We start from the raw sequence: 20,851 nt of genomic DNA, 5'->3' as shown, positions 1-20,851 counted from the left end.
CTCCTTTGGCCAGTGGTGCTCACCCCTGGCTGCACATTACAATCACAGAGGGGAGGGGCAGGCTGTATTCAAGCTAGAGGTCCTCTCCAGAGATACTGTTTAAGTGAAGCCAGGGCAGCAGCATATTGTTTTTAATTCCCCCTCGTGAAAGAGCTGATGGAAATCAAGTGGATAATAAAGCCAGCTGGTCAAAATCAGATTAAAGTCAGCCCAGTTGGGCTCCTAGGTCAGTCAATGAATCTAAGCTGTGCCGTTATCAGAACATCTATTCCTGTTCTGAGTTTCTTCATTTACCCTATTTATTTCTCCTTCCTACGAGCCAAGAAAAATGACACACTATAAGGTTTTATCAATCTACTCTAAATAAGGACATCAAAATTCATAGCAAACTCCCACCTGGCCCACCTTCAAAGGCCTTTATAGAAGCAGTCAAGCAAAATTGGTCGTCCAATCCCTTGTGACAATGAAGTCTAATTTCCTGCCCTGGCTGCTGCCAGTACATGACGGGAAATGCCACTGGTAAAGGAAGGACAGGCTTGGAGAAACGGACAGACAGCATCTGTGACTAGTAGGAAAGAACTCCCCCTCTGAGCATTCCTCTTAGCTCTTTACGGAATGCTGAGGCAGGTGAGGGAGGTAGAGCCCTTCCCTGGCAACCAAGCCCCTCCTCCGATGAGCTAGGGAATAAATCAAGATCACCTGGAAACTGAAAGCCCCTGGAATCACAAAACTCTATCTGTGCCCCATTTGTGTTCTGTCCTTCTTAGACCACTTACTACATATATTCTGCCTGTGTTCTAGTCAATTCCCTGATCTGTTCTCTAACCATAACTATTATGTTGTTATATGCAGGGGATTTTTATTAAGGAAACCTCTTCGTCATGCCAAATTTTTTATTCTTAGACATTAACCTTCACAATCTCCTAAAAGGACATAAGTTTCAGGAAACTATTTCCCGGAAGGGCTGGTGCGTTTGATATTAAAAAGACGTGTTTCCCCTCCAGATAGCATCCATTTACTCTGGAAACATCTACTGCTCGCAAACACGGTGTTGGGATTCTAAAAAGGAAAGATGCAGAGTTCCTGAGGGTCAGGATGATGGAGGCCCCTGGGCCTGCCTCAGCTCCCGTGGGTGTCTAGCATGGTGCTGACTGTTGCAGGATGTTTCCAGTTCATCCCAGAGCCTACCAGTAGTAGCAAAAGGCAATCTCATATGACATTTTGTTATTGAAGATAAAACAGTCCCTGATTTTGTTGTCATCTACATAATCAAGAATAACCGAATATAAAATGTGTGCTTGGCTGGGCTCAGTGGCTCACACCTGTAATCCCAACACTTTGGCTGAGGCAGGAGGATGGCTTGAGCCCAGGAGTTTGAGACCAGCCTGAGCAACACAGTGAGACCCCATCTCTATGAAAAAATAACAAAAATTAGCTGAGCATGGTGGCGCATGCCTGTGGTCCTGGCTACTCAGGAGGCTGAGGTGGGAGGATTGTTCAACCCCGGGAGGTGGAGGCTGCAGTGAACTGGCATCATTCCACTGCCCTCCAGCCTGGGCAATGGAACAAGACCGTTTCCAAAAAAAATGTGTGTTTTCAGTCAAATCCGGTATAGTAAGAAAACTCTGCTCTGTGTGGAAAGGCTACCAGCTCTATCGTCACAGCTCTTCAGAAGCCTGTGCCTGAGCTCATGCCTTGGGCATGCCTTATTGATGATGGATTTTAGGTTAAATATACAGCCATGCATTTTGCCCTTAGATATTTCAAGTAATAAATCCCTCCCACAGGGGTAAAAGCGACAAGCGACACGCGCTATATTCCAAATCTCCCAGAGGGTTCGTGTTTTGAGGTTTCGGCCTCTGCAGCTTCCCACGGGAGTGCCGCATGCCCATCCACGTACCCGCCAGCAGGCCGATGAGCAGCATCACCACCCATCCCGACCAGGCATCCAGCAGGCTCTTGATGAACTCCCATATGGACTCCTTGCTCTTGCTGGTGATCTAGAACAAAGCAGATACAGCAACTGATCCGAATGCATTTTCGAATTCATGCTTTTTTCCTTGAAACTGTTTCCTCGGGAAACAGGGTAATTAAGAAAATAAAATGAATGTCATCAAGCAGCTAAATTCCCACTGATGTGATTCTTTCAGTTATGTGCCGCAACGGTACGACGAGCTTTCTAGTTCACAGAGCTATAAAGATGCCACAAAAGTCTCCAAAGAATTCGAGCACACACTCAAATAATTCACTTAATTAAAAAACATACTAAATGTGATTTGATCTTTGATGATTTAAAAGCTATGCTGAAGGGGGACATTGGTTCGGTGTCTCCATTCTGAATATGAGTTACTATCTTAACTTACATTGCTAAGTTTCATTAAAAAGCCTCTTCACACAGACTTCATCTCCTCCTTTTGTTTTCAAGGTTAAATTTTAGCAGCACGAACTTAGAATTAGCTGGCACAGATCACGTCTCCCACAGCAGATGGACTACCTACACACACCTCCCTGTGCTAACAGAATCCTATGCTCCTCTGAGATCATCATTCCCTCACGGCCTTTTAGAGCAGTGGTGGGCAAATGTTTTCTGTAAAGGACCAGAGAGTAAATATTTTGGGCTTTGCGGGCCGGATGGTCTCCGTTGCAACTCCTCAACCCTGCCACTGTAGCACAAAAGGAGTCATAAAAATATGGAAATGGATGGGCATGGCTGAGTTCCAATAAAACTTTATTTCTAAAACAAGGTGCCAGCTGGCTTTGGCCCGCAGGATGCAGTCTGCTGAGCTGTGCTCTAGAGGGAATGCTGCCTCGACCCCACATTCCTGCACTGCAGAGCCAAGAGGCTGCAACATCTTCATGACTGAGCCTGGCTCCCTACACATTCCCCTCCTCCTTTCGTGCCAGCCCTCGTGAGGCGATGTGACATGGTCACACTGTCCATGTCACTCCTCACCCTCGTCTGAAGCAGCTCTCCCCTCACCGCCAGCCCCCATGCCGCTGGCTCGCCTCCTACCTGACCTCTCCATAGAGGGTGACCTTGTGAGCAGGCCCCTACACAACACCCTTTCCATTCACAGGGGACTGCTCTTGGCAGGGTCCCCTCTTGTCACAGGCTCCCCATCTGCCTCCCCTGGACCTGGTAACTCTGGGCACTGCCTGGGGATTTGACTACCTCTTCCCTTCTGTCTCTGCACACCCACGCCACCGTGGCTGTTTCTAAAGCTTCAGCCTCCACTTGCACACAGGGACCTCATTCTCCCCCCGGCCCTTCCCTCACCCTTGAACCACAGAGTTCTCGCCACCTGTGATCACCCATCCGCAGCGCAGCTCAAACCAACGCATCTACACAGAACTCAATGGCCTCCTCCGCAGTCTGCCAGTCCCCCCTTGCTTCCTCTAGGCATCAAAGGCATCATCCTCATCAGGCCAAAGCCTGGTGTTCTGTGACCCCATTCCCCTCCTGGCCCCAGCACCTCCCCTGAATCCCGTCCGTGGCGCCTCAAAATACCTCTCCATCCTGATCCCCTCTCTCCACCTACACATCACTGCCTTCGGTCTCCTGGACTCATTTCCAAGCTTCCTGTTTCTCCCTTTGCAGCGCATCTTTATTGTCTTCTGTGGCTTTCAGCATGAAATGCAAACTCCTCTCCACCGCCAGCATGGCCGTTCCCCACGTGGCCCTGCTGCCTCCATTTCCACACTCATCCCTATCCCTCCCTCTGCAGGAATCCTCCACCAGATCCTCGGAGCTCCCTGAATTGCCCAGATACATCAGATTCTTTCATGCCTCTGTGACTTAAAAAAGGGGGGCATTCCTGATGTTTAGAATCCTCACCGTTCCTCTGCCTAGCAAAATCTTAGTCATCTTTCAAGACCCAACTGAAATGTTACCCTTGCTGAAAAACCCTTCCCTAACCGAACCTAAATGATCCCACAGCACTTGACAGATAACCATTGTGGTCCATTAAAATATATACTGATTGCCAACTAGACACCAGGCACTGTCATATGTGCTTTCATATACACATAATCTCATTTCCTTTTCAGGCATAATCACTTCCATCCTCATGGATGAGAAAACAGGTTCCAGAAATGGCACCTGCAAAGTCCCCTCCCTCTCCTCCACACCACAATCCCTCCATATGACACAACGTCCTGCCCAAAGCTCCTGCTAGTACAATGATCTGCCAATATATCTGCTCCTCCCACTGGCTCTTTTCTTCTTTAGACCCTAACCCAGCACATGACACGTACGTGGACCTAAGCCCCAGCTCAGTAACTTTTGAATGAAAACATGGCTTAGCCATTTGCAGTGTGTCCTTTCGGAATGCCACCTACCTTCCTGTGTCTGTCGGTGTCCCGTGACTTTTCCCTTAGCCAGTCGATGGTGTGGAAGTCCTCATACGTCCCCACATCAGGGAACGGCTCATCGAGGAAATCCATCAGGTTTCCAGAGCCACTCATCGCTCCCGCATTGACCATGCTAATTACACCTGGGCAAGAAAACCGGTCGTTAAAGACATGAGCAGGACATGCCATGGCCATGCAAGAAGAATAGTCCATGTGCCCTATTTTCTTATATAAGAAAAATTATTTCAGCATAGGCATCTGTGCTGTAATGAAATATATACACAGTCAATTATCATTATTCGTGGAGGTTATGCTCTATAAAGTCACCTCAAACACTGAATTACTGAATACTGAACTACTGTTCCCAAGAGAATACAGGGTTAAGTTCCTGCAAAATCTTTGGTCACATTTTCATCAAACAATCAAGATGTACCTTGTTTATATACTTCTGTTTAAAGACACTCTAATAGATATTGTTGAGTTATTAACATTGACCTCACAGCCAGCAGCACTATCACTCATGCCTGAACAAGGCTTCTCCATAAAACATGTCACAGCCCTCCTACACTCAGGAACACCAGACAGCTTCCCAGCACTGCATTGCAGGGCCATTTTAAACAGCAAAATTACCAACAAAAAAAGCACAAAACTGTGAAAAACATGGCACTAAATAGAACACGAAAAGGACCCTTGTTGACAGGAGGAGAGTGGAAGCAGGAAGGCAGAGCATCGCCTTCTCAGACCTCAGCAAGGAACGGGCACTGCTGGCACTTTTTGTCGCTCTACACACACACGTATCTATGAACAACCTCGAAAGCTCCACGAGTATTGATCTGGGGGGCTACACATAACATTTTAGCCAGTAGGCAAATTTGCAAATATGGAATCTGCAAATGAGGATTAATTAATTATATACATTCCTGGAAAACCTCACATTCTGCAAAAGCAAGGTGTCCAAATGACAGGGCTGGAGGGGCAAATAGGGTTTAAATGAAAATAATGGTAATCAAAGCAATAATTGGTTCCTATGGGAGACAAAGTGGACCACTCAGGCAGGCAGCCTATGTGATTGTCATCATGGATATTCAAAATGTACTCCAATGGCACAGTGAAAATGCTGGCAAGACTTTAATGAGTTGGTGGGAGCCCAGGCAATCTGCAGATGGCAGGAGCCCTCTATGTGAGTGGGGCCACCCTGGAGCTGGACAAGGGAGGTGGGACAACCTGCCGCGAGCCAAGAGCCATGAGAAGCTGGTGGCACGCTGCCCTGGGCAAGGAGCTCCAGGACAGATGCTCATTTTTAATGTCTTAAAATGCAGTCAAAAGGGCTCCTGCTGCCAGGGCAGTAGCACAGTTGAATGTGTCTTCCTTTCCTATCCAAGATAATAATTCTACTCCCACTATTCCAGCTCTCCTCACCTGGAAAACAATCGCGAGTGAACCAACACCATCTCCCATATTCTCCCACCATCAGAGCCTGATTTACAGATTGCACAGGAGCTCATTTCAGCTGTAGAAAATGCTTTGCAGTGGGACCAAGGCTCACCACCAGTTAGCAGAAAAAAGAATACAGTCTTACAGAGACAAGAGGTTGGAATATGCATAAATAAGAATTACTTTGGCAAAGAGCATGGAAATTTGAATTATAGGATGAGGACCACAAAAGTGCTGGCATAGATGGTTAAAAATCTGAAGGGTGGTTATAAAAACATTTGAGTGCAGGCTTCTCTCATGTATTTATATATCTAGAGGACTCAACCACGACCCAATGAAACTGCATTTTAATCAAATTGAAGAGTCACTATGGGCAAAGTAGGGTAATCACCTTACAAGCAATAAAGTGGTCACAGTGATTGATTTATTGATCATCAGTGCAACTCGGCTGCTTTAAAACTTTAAAAGTTTGAGGTTTGAGCCATGCCAAGTTGAAAATAATACCCCCTGATGAGTGCCCAGGGAAGAATCACATCGCAGAAGTCAGTAGCAACCAATGATATGAGGAAGAGAGTAAAATTAGAAAGCAAAGATTTCATTCTCATGTATACAAAAACAACATGAAAATAACCTCTTAATATATGTGGGAAAGAAAATCTCTGATGGGAAAAACAAGACGACAGGCTGTTGACCCTCCAAGAGAGCCCTTGTCAGAAAAACCCAACCAGCAGATAGAATCGCAGAGACTTGGACAGTCTATTCAAAAGGAGTTGATACCACCTAAAATTTAACTACATCTCTAGTCAAACAACTACTTCAGGCAATAATGCTTGAAACAAAAAATCACTGTAGAGAGCAATCATATCTTTAAACTTTGACGGAACATGCAGTGGTCCTGAGGAAAATAAACAGGCTCTGATCTGCAGAGCCTCAGAGGACTTCCCTGGGGACCCAGAAGGAGGTGTTGGTGTCTATTGTGAGGTTGGGATTAAAAGATCATCTAGGGGCCAGGCCCGATGGCTCACGCCTGTAATCCCAGCACTTTGGGAGGCCGAGGCGGGTGGATCACCTGAGGTCAGGAGTTCAAGACCAGCTTGGCCAACATGGTGAAACCCCGTCTCCACTAAAAATACAAAAATTAGCCAGGTGTGGTGGCAGGCACCTGTAGTCCCAGCTACTCAGGAGGCTGAGGCAGGAGAATCACTTGAACCTGGGAGGTGGAAGTTGCAGTGAGCCAAGATTGCGCCACCGCACTCCAGCATGCGCGACAGAGCGAGACTCCATCTCAAAGGGGGAAAAAATCATCTAGGTCCAGCCGACCACAGATTTATGTGTGAGTCCAGCCAAGATCAGCCAACTTTGGCCCCATCCAACCATGCAGCCAACCTGTAGACTTGTGAAAATAATGAATGGTTGTTGTTTTAAGCCACTGAGTCCTTTGAAGGAGTTGTTATTCAGCAGCATGATAATTATGGGTTAATAGGTAGAATGAACTTGAGCTCTGAAGGAAGGAAGACAGGTCAAGTTAGCTGGAGCAATGCAGACCAACTCTGGGGAGGACTGGAGCAGCCATACATGACAGTACCAATAGTGAGAGGGTGGAGTGGAATTTGCCTCAGTTCAGGCTGGAAGTATCCTGCCTGACAAGAGAACATCTCTCCTACACAACCATTATTTGCCTCCAAAGGAACTGTGGAAGGAATGCAGGACACCTATATCTTGCAACCAATGCCTCAAGGCAAAAAAGTATCAGTAGGTTTGGTCTCCAAGCATGAAGACCCCAAGGAATCAGGCTCAAGTTCTTCAACAGCAGATCCTGTCCAGTAAAACTCACTTCACCCAGGACCCAACGAAGACAAGCATGTATTAATACAATAGTATTAATGATGTCATTTACAGCTCTGATGTTAAAAGTGACTCTGAATGGGTCAGCTCGCTCTCAGAACAGGGATCTGTAACACTCGAAGGAAACCTGGACTTTTTATGGTTGGGTATTAGCAATAACATAACAGGTTCTAGAAGATGAAAGAAAGCAGGAAATCACCTAGATCAAGATCTAGAAGGACAGATTCTAAGTAGAATCAAGGCTTGGCTGAATATAAAAATGCTACCCTAGGTGAATCATGGTTATCCATGTTTGACCAAAAATGTCAGGTAGAAACCCGTATCTTTGAATGTGCTTTTCTCTTCTACCTTGAACCTTCTCCTCTGCCTTGAAAGCTCCTATTCACACTGCAGAACCCTGTTCTGTTTCACCCTATCTGTGGAACTTGCATTAATTTCCCCAGACACAGTTGGGGCATCTTCTTTAGCCATTCCAAAGGATTCTTTCTTTTTCTTTCTTTTCTTTTTCTTTCTTTTCTTTCTTTTTTTTTTCAGGGTCTCACTCTGTCACCCACAGTAGAGTGCAGTGGCACAATCACAGCTCAACACAGCCTCAACCTCCCAGACTCAAGCGATCCTCCTGCCTCAGCCTCTTGAGAAGATGGGACCACAGATGCATGCCACCACACTGGCTAATTTTTTTTTATTATCTGTAGAGATGGGGTCTCACTATGTTGCCCAGGCTGGTCTCAAACTCCTGGGCTCAAACAATCCTCCTACCTCAGCCTCCCAAAATGCTGGGATTACAGGTGTGAGCCACTGCACGCAGCCCATCATATCTTTATCTATCCTGGTACTGGGGTCTCATTGGACTCAGCAAGACCATCCTCACCCAGGGTCTTTCACAAGGTCTTGGTCAGACAGGGGCTGGAGCTGGCATCATCCGAAGGCTTGTTCACTCACACATCTGGTGCCTGGGCCAAGAGACTCAACAGCTGGAGACTAGAACAGCTGGGGTTCCCAGGCCTCTCTCTCTTTCCATGTGGCATCCCCATGTGGTCTCTTCAGCATGTGACTTTGGGTGGCAGTATTTCTTTTCTTTTCTTTCTTTCTTTTTTTTTTTTTTTTTTTTTTTTTTTGAGATGGAGTTTCACTCTTGTTGCCCAGGCTGGAGTGCAATGGCGCAATATCAGCTCACCGCAACCTCCGCCTCCTGGGTTCAAGCTATTCTCCTGCCTCAGCCTCCCAAGTAGCTGGGATTACAGGCATGCACCACCACGCCCAGCTAATTTTGTATTTTTAGTAGAGATGGTGTTTCTCCATGTTGGTCAGGCTGGTTTCAAACTCCCGACCTCAGGTGATCCGCCCACCTCGGCATCCCAAAGTGCTGGGATTACAGGCGTGAGCCACTGCGCCCGGCCAGGTGGCAGTATATCCTACCCAGAGGCTCTGGGCCCCAAAGCAAGTGTGTTAAGAGAGAGAGACCCGGCAGAAGCTGTATCACCTTGCGTGGCTCAGCCTCAGAAGTCAGATACCGTCCCTTTTGCCACTTGCTGTTCATTGAGGCAGTCACAAAATCCCACCCAGGTTCAAGGAGAGAGAAAGTAGACTCTACCTCTTGATGAGGAAATGGCAAAGTTCTAGATGAGCATTCCGAAGTCAGAGATATTATTGTGGCTATTTTTTTAAAACACACAACCAACCACCCAACTTACAAAACTTCTTGACAAATACAGAAAACTATCAAGAAAAAAAATAAGGATTACCCATCATCATGCCCTTGATAACTCCCATAACCTGTTGGTATGTTTTCTTCGTAGTTGTATTTTAAAACAAATTGGCAGTATGAGATATTTGGATCTTCAATATTGTACTTTGTCCCTCTATATTCTGATGTTCATCACAAGAGAGGCAGCATCACACGCATACTGGTTAAAACACAGACTCCAGAACAGCGCTGCATGAGTTCAGATCTCAGCTCTGCCACTTACCACCCGTGTGACCTTAAGCAAGTTGTTGGACCTTTCTTACTGTGCCTCAGTCTCCCCCATCTATGAAGTAGGAATTGCAGCACTACCTGCCTCAGGGTGCTGTGAAGAAGACGGAATGAGCTGACATTTGTAAAGCAATTTGTGCCTGGCATGTGGTTAGCGCTTCATAAATGTTTGTTAAAATGAAAATCATGTTTCATGAAAACACCCCTTCCTTATCCCCCTGCATGTCGCCTTGTTTCTGAGGTTGATCTGCTCACTCCTCTGCTTTCTGTAACTGATAGAGGGGACCTGATGGACTCCAGTTCTGTTCAGGGAGATTGTGGTGGTCCAACTGAGCTTCTGGGGGACCTTCTGGGGGATTCCACTTACCAAGAATCAGTGAGGCCATTAAAACATGAATCTATGCCTGACATTCGAAATAGCTTTTCCTAAAAACTCCTCAAAGCATTTACTTTGAGGAGACTGTTTAGACTGTTTTCTTTCAAATCTGAAATACCTCTATTCAAAGTGGCAAGACCACTAACCAAGAGACTTGTACGACTCCCAAGTATGGGTGTGTGACCACAGCTGACCCTCTCTGCCCCTCTCTCAAAAGCCAGGACCCTGGGATGCTCCCTCCCCTGCCCCTTCAGCCCAGTACATGGCACAGGGAATGAAACAGCACCGGCCCCTTTCACCCTCGCAGGGACAAGCAAACCTTTTGTCATTAATTAAAACTGTTTGTCTCTGCCACAGATAATGTTTAGGGCTGGGACTTTACAGAAAGTTCAGCGCTATCTTCACTGCCAGCTGTGATTATCTGTCATTACAGAGCAGAAAATCCTAAGAAATACACTCTTCAGTGTCAGCAAAATGAAAACCTTCAGATCCTCTGGGTAGTCATCTCGCACCCTCAAAAGGGATCCTCTCAAAAGTTATCACAATATTTGCAACCATTATGGCCCTTAACATCTAGAAGTGGGGACCAAGAAGTTTAATTCAGAAGAGATTGAGAACTATATATAAAAAGCAACCTACAGGTAAGCAGTGAAGTCTTTTTTAATGTTTTTGTTTTGTTTTTTGTTTTGTTTTTGTTGTTTTTTGTTTGTTTTTTTACTGCTCCATTTCATTGGCTGTGAAGCAATGAAGTCTTGGAGGAACCAGCAAGGAGCCGACAGCCCAGGCTCAGCTATGGGAATGGGCCCCAGTGGCTACTACATAGATTCCCATTCCTCTCCAATCAGACCAAAGGAAAACAGACATCAGGAAAATGGGGGCGAAGTCAGGCATAATCACAGGAAAAGTCCAGGAAGCAAGTTATCTAGGATCTTTTAGTTTATCCTGTTTTTCTGAGAACTGCAGTTTTAGTAAACAAAAGTAGCAAAATTAACATGCCCATGTTAGCTACATTCTAGAAACTGCTCTGTGCTACTCAACTGGCTTGGATCTAGAGGAAGAGTCTGGATTACCTGGGGGAAGTCAGGCATTCCCCCTGCCTGTCAACTTTCAAGATATCTGCATTTGGAGGAGTAGCAGGAAGAATGGATGAGGTGGCTGTCACCTTGAGACCTTTTCCTTCTGACTTGTACAGATACACACAGGTCTGTAGCAGCAATCTCTTACAGCATTTTTAAAGAGGTAATTCACATACCATAAGATGTACTCTTTTAAAGTGTACAATTCAGTGGTTTACAGGAAATTCACAAGGCTGTCCAATCATCACCACTATCCAATTCCAGAACATTTTCACCCCCCTAAAAATGACCCCCTACCCATTAGCAATCACTTCCTTCTCCCAGCCTAGGCAGCCACTAATATACTTTCCATCCTATGCGTTTGCCTATTCTGGACATTTCGTATAAGTGGAATCATGCAGTAAGTGGAATCATGCAGTATGTGGCCTCTTGCATCTGGCTTCTTCCACCTAGCATAATGCTTTCAAGGGTCATCCAGGCTGTGGTGCGTATCAGTGCTTCACCCCTTTTTATTTATTGCTGAATAAGATTCCATTGTGTGGCTGTATCACATTTTGTTTATCCACTCATCAGCTGACGGCCATTTGGGTTGTTTCTACTTTTGGGCTATTATGAATAAGGCTGTTAGGAACATCTGTGTACAAGTCTTTGCATGGACATATGTTTTCATTTCTCTTGGGTATATGCCCAGGAGTGGATTGCTGGGTCAGATGGGAACTCTGTTTAACCTTCTGAGGAGCTGCCAGACTGAAATCACTTTTCTTGAGTAAGCTTTTTATTGAAGTAAACATGTATTCGTAAAATGCAAAAATCATAGATGAACAGCTCCACACATTTTCACAAAGGGAACTCACCCATGTATGGAGTGCTCAGATCATGGGACGAAACATGACCAGCCCCTAGACACCACTTCAAGCCCCCGCTAGTCCCTGACCCACCCCAAAGGGTAACCACTATCCCAACCCTCACACTATAGATTACTGTTGCCTGCTTCTGAACTTTAAAGAAATGAAATCTTGTTTCCAGCTTCTTTCATTCTATATTATGTTGCAAGATCTACCCATGTTGTTCAGTGTAACTATCTGTTCATTCTCTTTGCACTGTAACAGGGGCCACCAAACTTTTTCTGTGAAGGGCCAGAGAGTAAATATTTGAAGATTTCTGGGCCATGCAGTCTCTGTCTAGACGACTCAGCTCCACCGCTGTCATTGCAAAGCAGCCAGAGACCATAGACACATCAATGCCTGGTGCTGTGTTTCAATAAAACTTTATTCGCGGACACTGAAATATGAATTCCATATCATCTTCATGTGTGGCAAAATATTATTCTTTTGGTTTTTTCTCAACCATATAAAAATGCAAAAACCATTCTTAGCTCATAAGCTGTACGAAAGCAGGCAGTGAGCTGGAGTTGGCCCACAGGATCACGAACTTGGCCGACTCCTGTTTCACAGTATTTGACTGAGGAATCAGCCCCAATGTAGTTATCCATTCTACTGCGGGTGACACTTGGGTGATTTCCCATCTGGAGCCATTACACTTTGTGCTGCCATCAGTATTTACACCGTCCATAAAACGCTGTGGTTGAAGCCCTTCCACCTGTTCCCTCTGTCCTCTGCCCAGCAGTGGCCAGGTGCCACAGTACCTGCCAATGTTTATGCCAGTATTCCCCTCCCAAATCAGACCATGTCAGATTATTTGCCAACTTGCTCTATTAGCTAATCCCCAGATGACTTGGACAGATGGAACGGAAAGTCATAACTCAGATTAAAAGATTAAGAGTCTCCAACAAGCAAGGAAGGCCACCCTAGAGGCAAGTCCCGGCAGGGTCCCCTGCCAGCGTGGGCAGGGTAGAAACTGCTACTAAAACCACCTCCGGCTCTCATGAGCCTCTCCCACAAGCTGTTCCTGCCCCTTGCTCCTTCCTGTTTCCTCGTAGTAACTTAACTGATAGGAGTTTGCAAATGTTTCTGAGAAAGGTCCAGGTGGGAAATCTTTTCAGCTTCGCGGGCCATATGCCATATAGTCTCCATTGCGATTACTGGACTGTGCCATTGTACAGCAGAGCAGCCACGGACAATATGGAAATGAAGGGATGTGGCTGCCTGCTGACAACACTTTATTTACAAAAACAGGAACAGGCTGGATCTGGCCTGCAGGCTGTGCTTTGCCGGCCCCTGCTTTACACCATGGGTGTTTATTGGGCATCTGCTACCTGCCAGGCCACTGTCCAAGGCACCAGAGCTACCAGCACATTTGCGGCCCTCACCTCCCAACAAAACCCAGCAAACAAATAATCGTGACCCACGGGGACAAGTATAATATAAAGACAAGTGGCCACAGTCATTCCCCTTAGGATTATTTAAGGGAAGGAATGAGTTTCCAGAAACCCAACAATGCAACTAAAGGATGTCACCATCAACATTTCAACCTTAAAGCTTTGGGAAAATAAAGATGAGTTCCTATTACACACATACACACACACACAGAGAGAGAGAGAGAGAGAGAGAGAGGGAGAGGGAGGGAGGGGGAGAGAGAGAGAGAGGGAGGGAGGGAGAGAGAGAGAGAAAGAGAGAGAGAGGGTGGGAGAGAGAGAGAGAGAGGTTTCTGTGAGATCCTACAATCAGAAAAGTTTCTCCAAGTAATTAGTGATCCGAATGCTTCAAGATTCCGGGTGCCTCGGCTCATGAATAAAAATATGATCATACCATAGCGCTAACAAAGTGTTCAAGATCATCACAGTTACCTGTAGTGTTCACATGACACCATGAAAAGCATAGGACACAACAGAAATTCTAGAACACACAGCCAGAGGAGAGGGCCCAAGAACATCAAGTTCAGAGACAGGCCATGGTCAGACGGCAGCTAAAAATAAACATCTCAAAAGCTTCATTTCTTACAGATTTTCCAGGAGCCCCAGTGACTCATCACAAGCAGCCTTTACCGAGCTGCTTTTCTTCCAACCTTGTGGATTACGAGAGGTGCTGGCCTCAGTGGCTGCTGGCTGCTGGCTGCCAGTTCCTTGGTGCTGGGAGCCCCTAGTCTCAGAGGGGGCTTCACTGCAACCCAAGACGACTGCTGGTTCAGCTCCTGCTGGTCCAACAAGCCTGTATGAGGAATGCTTCCCCCTTTTTCCATCTCCTCCAACCTGTAACTCCTACCTCGTCAGAAAGAGAAGGCAGGACAACCCTCCCAAACCTACCACGCCTCACCTGCCATCCTCCCCACGGCCTTCAGACCCTAAGCTGGAGCTCCTACCCAGGTCACCGCAACCTCCTAACTGCGTAGCCCACCACTCCAGCTCTGCCCAAGTAATGCCAAGGTAATTCCCTCTCTGACCCACGGCCATTCCTCTGTCACCTTCAGTGGCTTCTCATCTACCCACCCTTTGACTCAAGCACTTCCCAAAGTATGCTTGCAATGAGTAAACACAGAATACAGAGCAAAAGAATCCGGATGCATCCAAACACTCTGTGTGATCCCGTTTACATCATGTTCAAAAACGGGCAGAAGTAAATTAACAAAGCTCAGGAACCAGAATTCTTTGGTAAATCTACAATGAAAAGTAGAGACGTAAACACAATAGAAGTCAGGAGAGTATTCTGAGGGGCAGGGAGGTGAGGGGACTGGGGAGGGGACAAAAGATGACAGCAGCAACAGTCTTTCCTGACTTGAGCAGAGGCATGATGACACAGTGTTCCTTTTACAATTCGTCCAGCTATATGGCAGTGTAGGGCAGCCTGGAGGGGAGGAAGAGCTCAAGGGGGTGACAGAAAGGTAGGGCTGACAGCAGGGCACAGGGTGGGGGGAATTAGGGAGCAACTGGGCTCCGCAGGTTGCCATGGGTGTCACCAGCCCTGCTGAGCTGCAGTCTGCTCACCTGCAATATGGGCTAACAAGACCACCTCCTAGGATGGTCCTGAAGACTGTTTATAAAATGCCCGCCCTGGAACAGGGCCCAGCTGTTCGTTGCCACATAACAGATATTTGCTAAATGAGCTTGTTATTGGGTGAAGGGTCAGCGGAGGACTTGGGTCCGTAAAGGGCTGCTAGAGTGGTCCAAAATAGCCATTTGTGCCTCCATCAGAACTCTCCCAGTCTCCTTCAATTGCTAACAAAGCTGGCCCCTGGCCCCAGATGTGGCACAGAACCCAATCTGGCCAATGACAGTGCCCCGACCACCAGGCACAATGACCGGCTATGGGGATGAGCGTGGGACCCATGCAGGGCCGCACACATGGACGAGGGGGAGAAAGGAAGTCTCTCTTTCCACGGTAGTGGCTAACTTGGAACCACCAACCCTACCAAGGGTGTATGGCGGGAGGGAATGAGGCCAGAGGCAGACACCAAAGTGTCCCCTAGAGACCATTCTGCCCCCAGGGGATGCTTGACAATGCCTGGAGACATTCTTGGTTATCACCTCTGGGGAGGGGGATTGCTATGGCATGATGTGGGTAAAAGCCAGAGATGCTGCCCAGCGTCCTAAATGCACAGGACGACCCGCACAGAGAAGAGTGATCTAGCCCCAAATGACCACAGTGGCAAGTTGAGACAGCTAGAAAACAAACAAGCCAGAGACCCAGACAGACGCCTTCCAGTTCCTGAGCCCAGGCTCCCTACATTCCAGCAGATTCCCTGGGTTTCTTTCCCAGCTTACGTCACCTAGACCAGCGCTTCTCATATGACAATGCACATGCGCATCCCCTGGGCTTCTGGTTAAACTGCAGGTGCTGATTCAGCAGGTCTGGGGCATGGCTGAGGCTCGAATTTCTCACAAGCTCCCGCCCCCGCAGAGGCACTTTGGAGAATGGCCAGGAGGTAACAAAGAAAGAAAAGAGACCGGGCTGCCTTCAGAAATCGGGGAGCCAGGAGCAGAGGACAGAGAAAGAGCCACAGAGGGAGGAGATTAAGCAGTCACGTGACTGGGAGGCTGGGGAAGGAGAATTCCAGAAGGGTACTGCCAGGGAACCCCACGGTTCCCAGCCCGGGGTGCGCAGCCGAACCACGTGGGAGCATTCAGAAAGCCCAAGGAGCAGGCCCCGCCCAGAGTCATTAAACCGGGGTCCCTGAGGCAGCGCCCAGGCATCAGCATTTTTAAAAGCTCCCCAGGTGCTGCCAATGTGCGGCCTCGGGTGAGATCTGACTCCGACTTGGATGAGCCATGCATCCCTTAGGGTCTTATTAAACGGCAGATTCTGATCCTGGAGAGCTGGGGTGTGGCCCAAGACTGCATTTGAGACGCCGAATTTCTAAGGCACTCCCAAGCGATGCCTGAGACCACCACACGAGGCTCTAGGAAGATTGGTTTCATCTGGCGGTTGGCAGGGTCTTGGAGATGTCTGAGAGGGGAGGGGAAGAGGGCAGTCTTGCAGTTAGTTGCCTTTGAAGAATGTCGCCAGGCTGCAAGGCCTGCATTACCGTGATCGTCATCAGACTGTGTCATTTCACTCCTTCCTGCTCCAGCTTCAAAGCTTCCCCACAAGCGCCTCCTCCAGGGTCTCCTGCTCCTCGAATAACATAACATGCTTAAGAAATGCAATCCAACACAAATTAATAGCCATCTTCAAATTATACAACAGACCGCTGTTCTCTTAATTTACTTGTGTGGAAGGAGGGAAAAAAATGTTCTGGCATGAATGTTTGAGGCTATAGCAAACATTTGTTTATCTGCCTATTCACGCTGCTCAGAACTGAAAGATTAGAAGTGGAAGTTTAAAATACAGCTAGTGTACCAGGATTTTCTGCCCCCACAATGCTCACACACACACACACACGCATGCCCTCTCTCTCTCTCTCACATACACACACACACACAAACACACACACTTTCCCATTCCTCCAATGAGCAGACACAGGAAGGAAGCATCTACCTAAGGAGGTTAGAGCGAAGCCTTGACCTCGGTCTCTTCATTCACAGTTACAATACTGCCACACGACCCCAGGCATGCGAACTACCCTATACACATGGCTCTGTTGTCCCCATCCAATTTCTAGAATAACTACTGTATCTGATGCTGCCAGCGCCCCACTCATATCACTCAAAACCTTCCAGTAAGCTCTAGCTAATTTCCAACCATATCGCTTAGTCTAAGGTCACTGTCATTGTTTTGAGACCCACAGAAGGTGGCTCTGCTTACATGGCATGCCTGAAGTGCATTATTGGGAATAGGTATTAATCGATGACTCTCAAGAACTGACTCCCGAGGGAAAAGGCTTGCGGGGCAAAGTCTGGAGAAAACCAGACATCTTCAAATGTCCTACTCCCTTGTCCCTTGAATGAGATTATTTCAAGGCATGTGCTTTGTACCTGTGCAGAAAACACGTAATATAGCAGACCTGAGACTGCTCTCCTTAGAAAGGCCTGTTTGCAAGGTTGGCCCTTGGCTGGCATCTGGGAATTTGTATTTTGGGAGGGTTCCCACCATTCCCAGAGCTGGTAAGAGTGGCTCACTGTGCCTAAACTCTTTGTCCAAATACTGTGATCTATGCTGAATGCCTGCTTTCTCTCTGGGAGTCTGGAATTTTGATGTGTGCTAGGCAGAGGGTGCCTATGTGAGCAGCCCCCAATACAAATCCCAGGCGCTGAGTCTCTAAGGACCTTCCCTGGTGGACATTTCACACATGTTGTCTCAACTCACCATGGGCAGGAGTAGGCATGTTCTGTGTGACCCCACTGGGAGAGGACTCTTGGAAGCACGTGCCTGCTTTTCTCCAGACTTCACCCCATAAGCCTTTTCCCTTTGTTGATTTTTCTCTGTGTCCTCTTGCTTTACTAAATCATAGCCATGCATATGCCATGTGTCAAGTTTTATGAGCCCTCCTAGGAAATCACCAGACCCAGAGGTGATCTTGGGGGCCCATGACACAGCGAGCACCATTTCCTAGAGTTTCCAAAGTGTGGAATTAAGCTCCAGTCGCCCATTGCGTGACATTAACAGCCCGGCCCTAATGGCTGCCTTCCTTTCCTGGTCTCACTTCCCCACTCCCCTCCCAAATCAACTTGCACCAGAAACCTAATTTCAAGTTCCACTTCTGCAAGGACCCAAACGAAGGCAGCATCACATGGCATTTTATATTTCTTCAGCCAGTTATGCCCTTGCCTGTGTAAACCCATGTGAGTGATCTTTACCTCTCCTACACAAATGAGCAAAACCTAGGGCTAGGCAAACAGTTATTAGAAATGACATCAAAAACACAATCCATAAAAGAAATAAAGTAGTAAGCTGTACTAGTTGGGCAAAGTAAAACTTTCCCTTCATTTAAGAATTCAGAGCCGGACGCGGTGGCTCACACCTGTAACCCCAGCACTTTGAGAGGCCGAGGTGGGTGGATCACCTGAGGTCAGGAGCTCGAGACCAGCCTGACCAACATGGTAAAACTCCGTCTCTACTAAAAATACAAAAATTAGCCAAGCATGGTGGTGGGCACCTGTAATCCCAGCAGCTACTCTGGAGGCTGACGCAAGAGAATCTCATGAACCCGGGAGGCGGAGGTTGCAGTGAGCGGAGATCGCGCCACTGCACTCCAGCCTGGGTGACACAGCGAGACGCTGTCTCAAAAAAAATTCAGAAAAACTCCCTAATATACTTTATTGATTGCCGACATACATCAGTCCCCTAACAAAAGGGTCCAAGCTGTGCTGAGGCTTCTGGCAATTAGGGGACAACGTGGGCACTAAAATGGCCTGTCCTAGGCTTCCCGACAGAACCCTGGTGGCTTATCACCGTCTAAACCAGTGGTTCTTCAGCTTGAACGTGCATCAGCATTACCAGGAGGGCTGGGGAAACCCAGACTGTCAGGTCCCACCCTCAGAGCTTCAGATCCGGCAAGGCTTGGATGGGGCCGGGGAATCTGCATTTCTAACAAGCTTCCAAGGGAGGCTGCTGCAGCTGATCCAAGGGCGCACATTAAGAGCCACTGGCCTAGTATAACCTTTTGTTCCCTTCCTATTTTCCACTCATTTCATGACCTGCATCCTTGCCATTGTGTTTTAATCACTAAAATTTTAATATTGTTTATATTAATATTTTTAACATCAATCTTATTTAGAAACTGCATTTTGTTCAAGTGATTATTTACAAACATGCTTCCTCCCATATTTGGCTGTGAGCTCCTTGAGGGCAAAGGCTTATGTTACTCATCTCTATTTACTATCCGGACCTGCATAAAATGAAGTGTTTGCTGAATGTTGCTATATAGAAATAGTGTCCACTAAGCCACAAAAAGCTTAGCCAGGCACACATACTACCTCTATTCTACAGGGAGTGTTATTAATACTATATCCATCAATAGATATAAAACCCTATCAAGTAGTCAGCTATTGAATGCTTTGGACATCACTGCACAGACATGCTCAAGAATCAAGATAAGAGGGCGGGTGTGGTGGCTCATGCCTGTAATCCCAGCACTTTGGGAGGCCGAGGCAGGTGGACCACCTGAGGTCAGGAGTTCAAGACCAGCCTGGCCAACATGGTGAAACCCCATCTCTACTAAAAATACAAAACTAGCCAGGCATGGTGGTGCATGCCTGTAATCCCAGCTACTTAGGAGGCTGAGGCAGGAGAATCGCTTGAATCCAGGAGGCGGAGCTTGCAGTGAGCCAAGATAACACCACTGCACTCCAGCCTGGACAACAGAGCGAGACTCTATCTCAAAAAAAAAAAAAAAGAAAAGAAAAGAAAAAGAAAAAAAAAGAATCAAGAAAGATTTTTATCTGTACATGTACAGAGAACAAAAGGCTATGTAGGCCAGCCTGAAGTCACTGCCATGTCACACGTGAGTGGTTTTGAAACGTCCACCATCACCCACCAGTTTTATAATTTGTAGCAAAATTAAAAAATTTTAAAAAGAAAAACAGAAAATATTTTTTTAAAGACATGATAATAATTTGTAGCAATGCCTGTCTGAGGGGCATACCTTGCCTTTCCTTACTGGTTTTGTTTGTTTGTTTGTTTGTTTTTCTGAATTCATCTTGTTTCCCTTGTTACTTTTCACTCATGAAAAGAGTTGGGCTGACAAAAACAGGTGTCCTCCTGATATCCAGCCACAGGCATTCGACACAGAATCAATGGAGCCTGAGGGAGTGGACTCTGGACCCATAACAGAGGCTAAAAGCACCACAAGCTGACGGTTTCTTATCAGCCCAACAAGACAAATCCTTCACTGTTTTTATCCAAGTGGAGGAGGTGACAGCTTGAGAGGGAAACTGCCTTAAAAATCCCTTTAAGCTCTCTCAAGAAGTTTCTCGGAAATAAATGTAGATACACTGACCAGAACATTCAATATAGGAAATCTTGTTTACACAAAGATTTAAACTATTAGACTATATAATCCTATAGATAGAAGAAGCTCAACAAACCCCAAGCACACACAAAAAAATGAAGAAAACTACACCAAGGCATAGCATAATCGAACTGTTAAACAAGTGAAAAAGAAGATCTCTTAAAAGCAGTGACAGAAAAGAGACACTTTACATACAAAGAAAGCTATTAGGCTATACAGGGCTATGAGGAGGAAAGAGGTACCACTCCATCCCATAATAAGAATGAAGCTCACAAGCCTAATGTCAAGTAAAAGAAAGACACAAAGAAAAGCAGACACAAAGGGATCCGAGATTCCATCCCTATAAAGTTCCAAACAAGCAGAAGGAACCAGTGGCGTTATTCAGGATAGCAGTTACCCTTGGAAGGGGACATGAGGGTGGCTTCTGGGAACTGGTCATGTTCCATTTCTGGATCTGGGCACTGTTACCCAGGTGTGTTCACCTTGTGACAATTCATCAAGCTGCACGCTTAC

At 46.7% G+C, this 20,851-nt stretch overlaps 1 protein-coding gene across 2 annotated transcripts in view, besides 1 other annotated feature; it reads right to left on the bottom strand.

Annotated features, from left to right (window-relative positions):
* Positions 1 to 20,851, bottom strand: part of CLCN4 (chloride voltage-gated channel 4) — an 80,686-nt gene that overhangs the window by 48,146 nt on the left and 11,689 nt on the right. The window contains exons 3-4 of one of the 2 annotated variants that reach the window (NM_001830.4): positions 4,339 to 4,493; positions 1,901 to 2,000 (exon numbers count right to left, since the gene is read on the bottom strand). The exons of the other annotated variant lie outside the window; for it this stretch is intronic. Of the exons in view, the coding sequence (NP_001821.2) occupies positions 1,901 to 2,000; positions 4,339 to 4,482 (244 nt within the window). The 5' untranslated portion in view covers positions 4,483 to 4,493. The remainder of the gene's footprint in view (positions 1 to 1,900; positions 2,001 to 4,338; positions 4,494 to 20,851) is intronic. 2 annotated transcript variants of the gene reach the window in all.
* Positions 14,694 to 15,670: an enhancer, noted in NCBI's record as "H3K27ac-H3K4me1 hESC enhancer chrX:10141885-10142861 (GRCh37/hg19 assembly coordinates)". NCBI's record gives its function as "activates a minimal SCP1, AML or CMV promoter by ChIP-STARR-seq in naive H9 embryonic stem cells {active_cell/tissue: H9 hESC(naive)}" and the evidence as "EXISTENCE:reporter gene assay evidence [ECO:0000049][PMID:30033119]".

The sequence above is a fragment of the Homo sapiens genome, chromosome X (genome assembly GCF_000001405.40).
Source record: "Homo sapiens chromosome X, GRCh38.p14 Primary Assembly".
Taxonomy (NCBI): Eukaryota; Metazoa; Chordata; class Mammalia; order Primates; family Hominidae; genus Homo; species Homo sapiens.
Note: the sequence above shows the minus strand (reverse complement) of the source record. Positions and strands in the feature narration are given on the sequence as shown.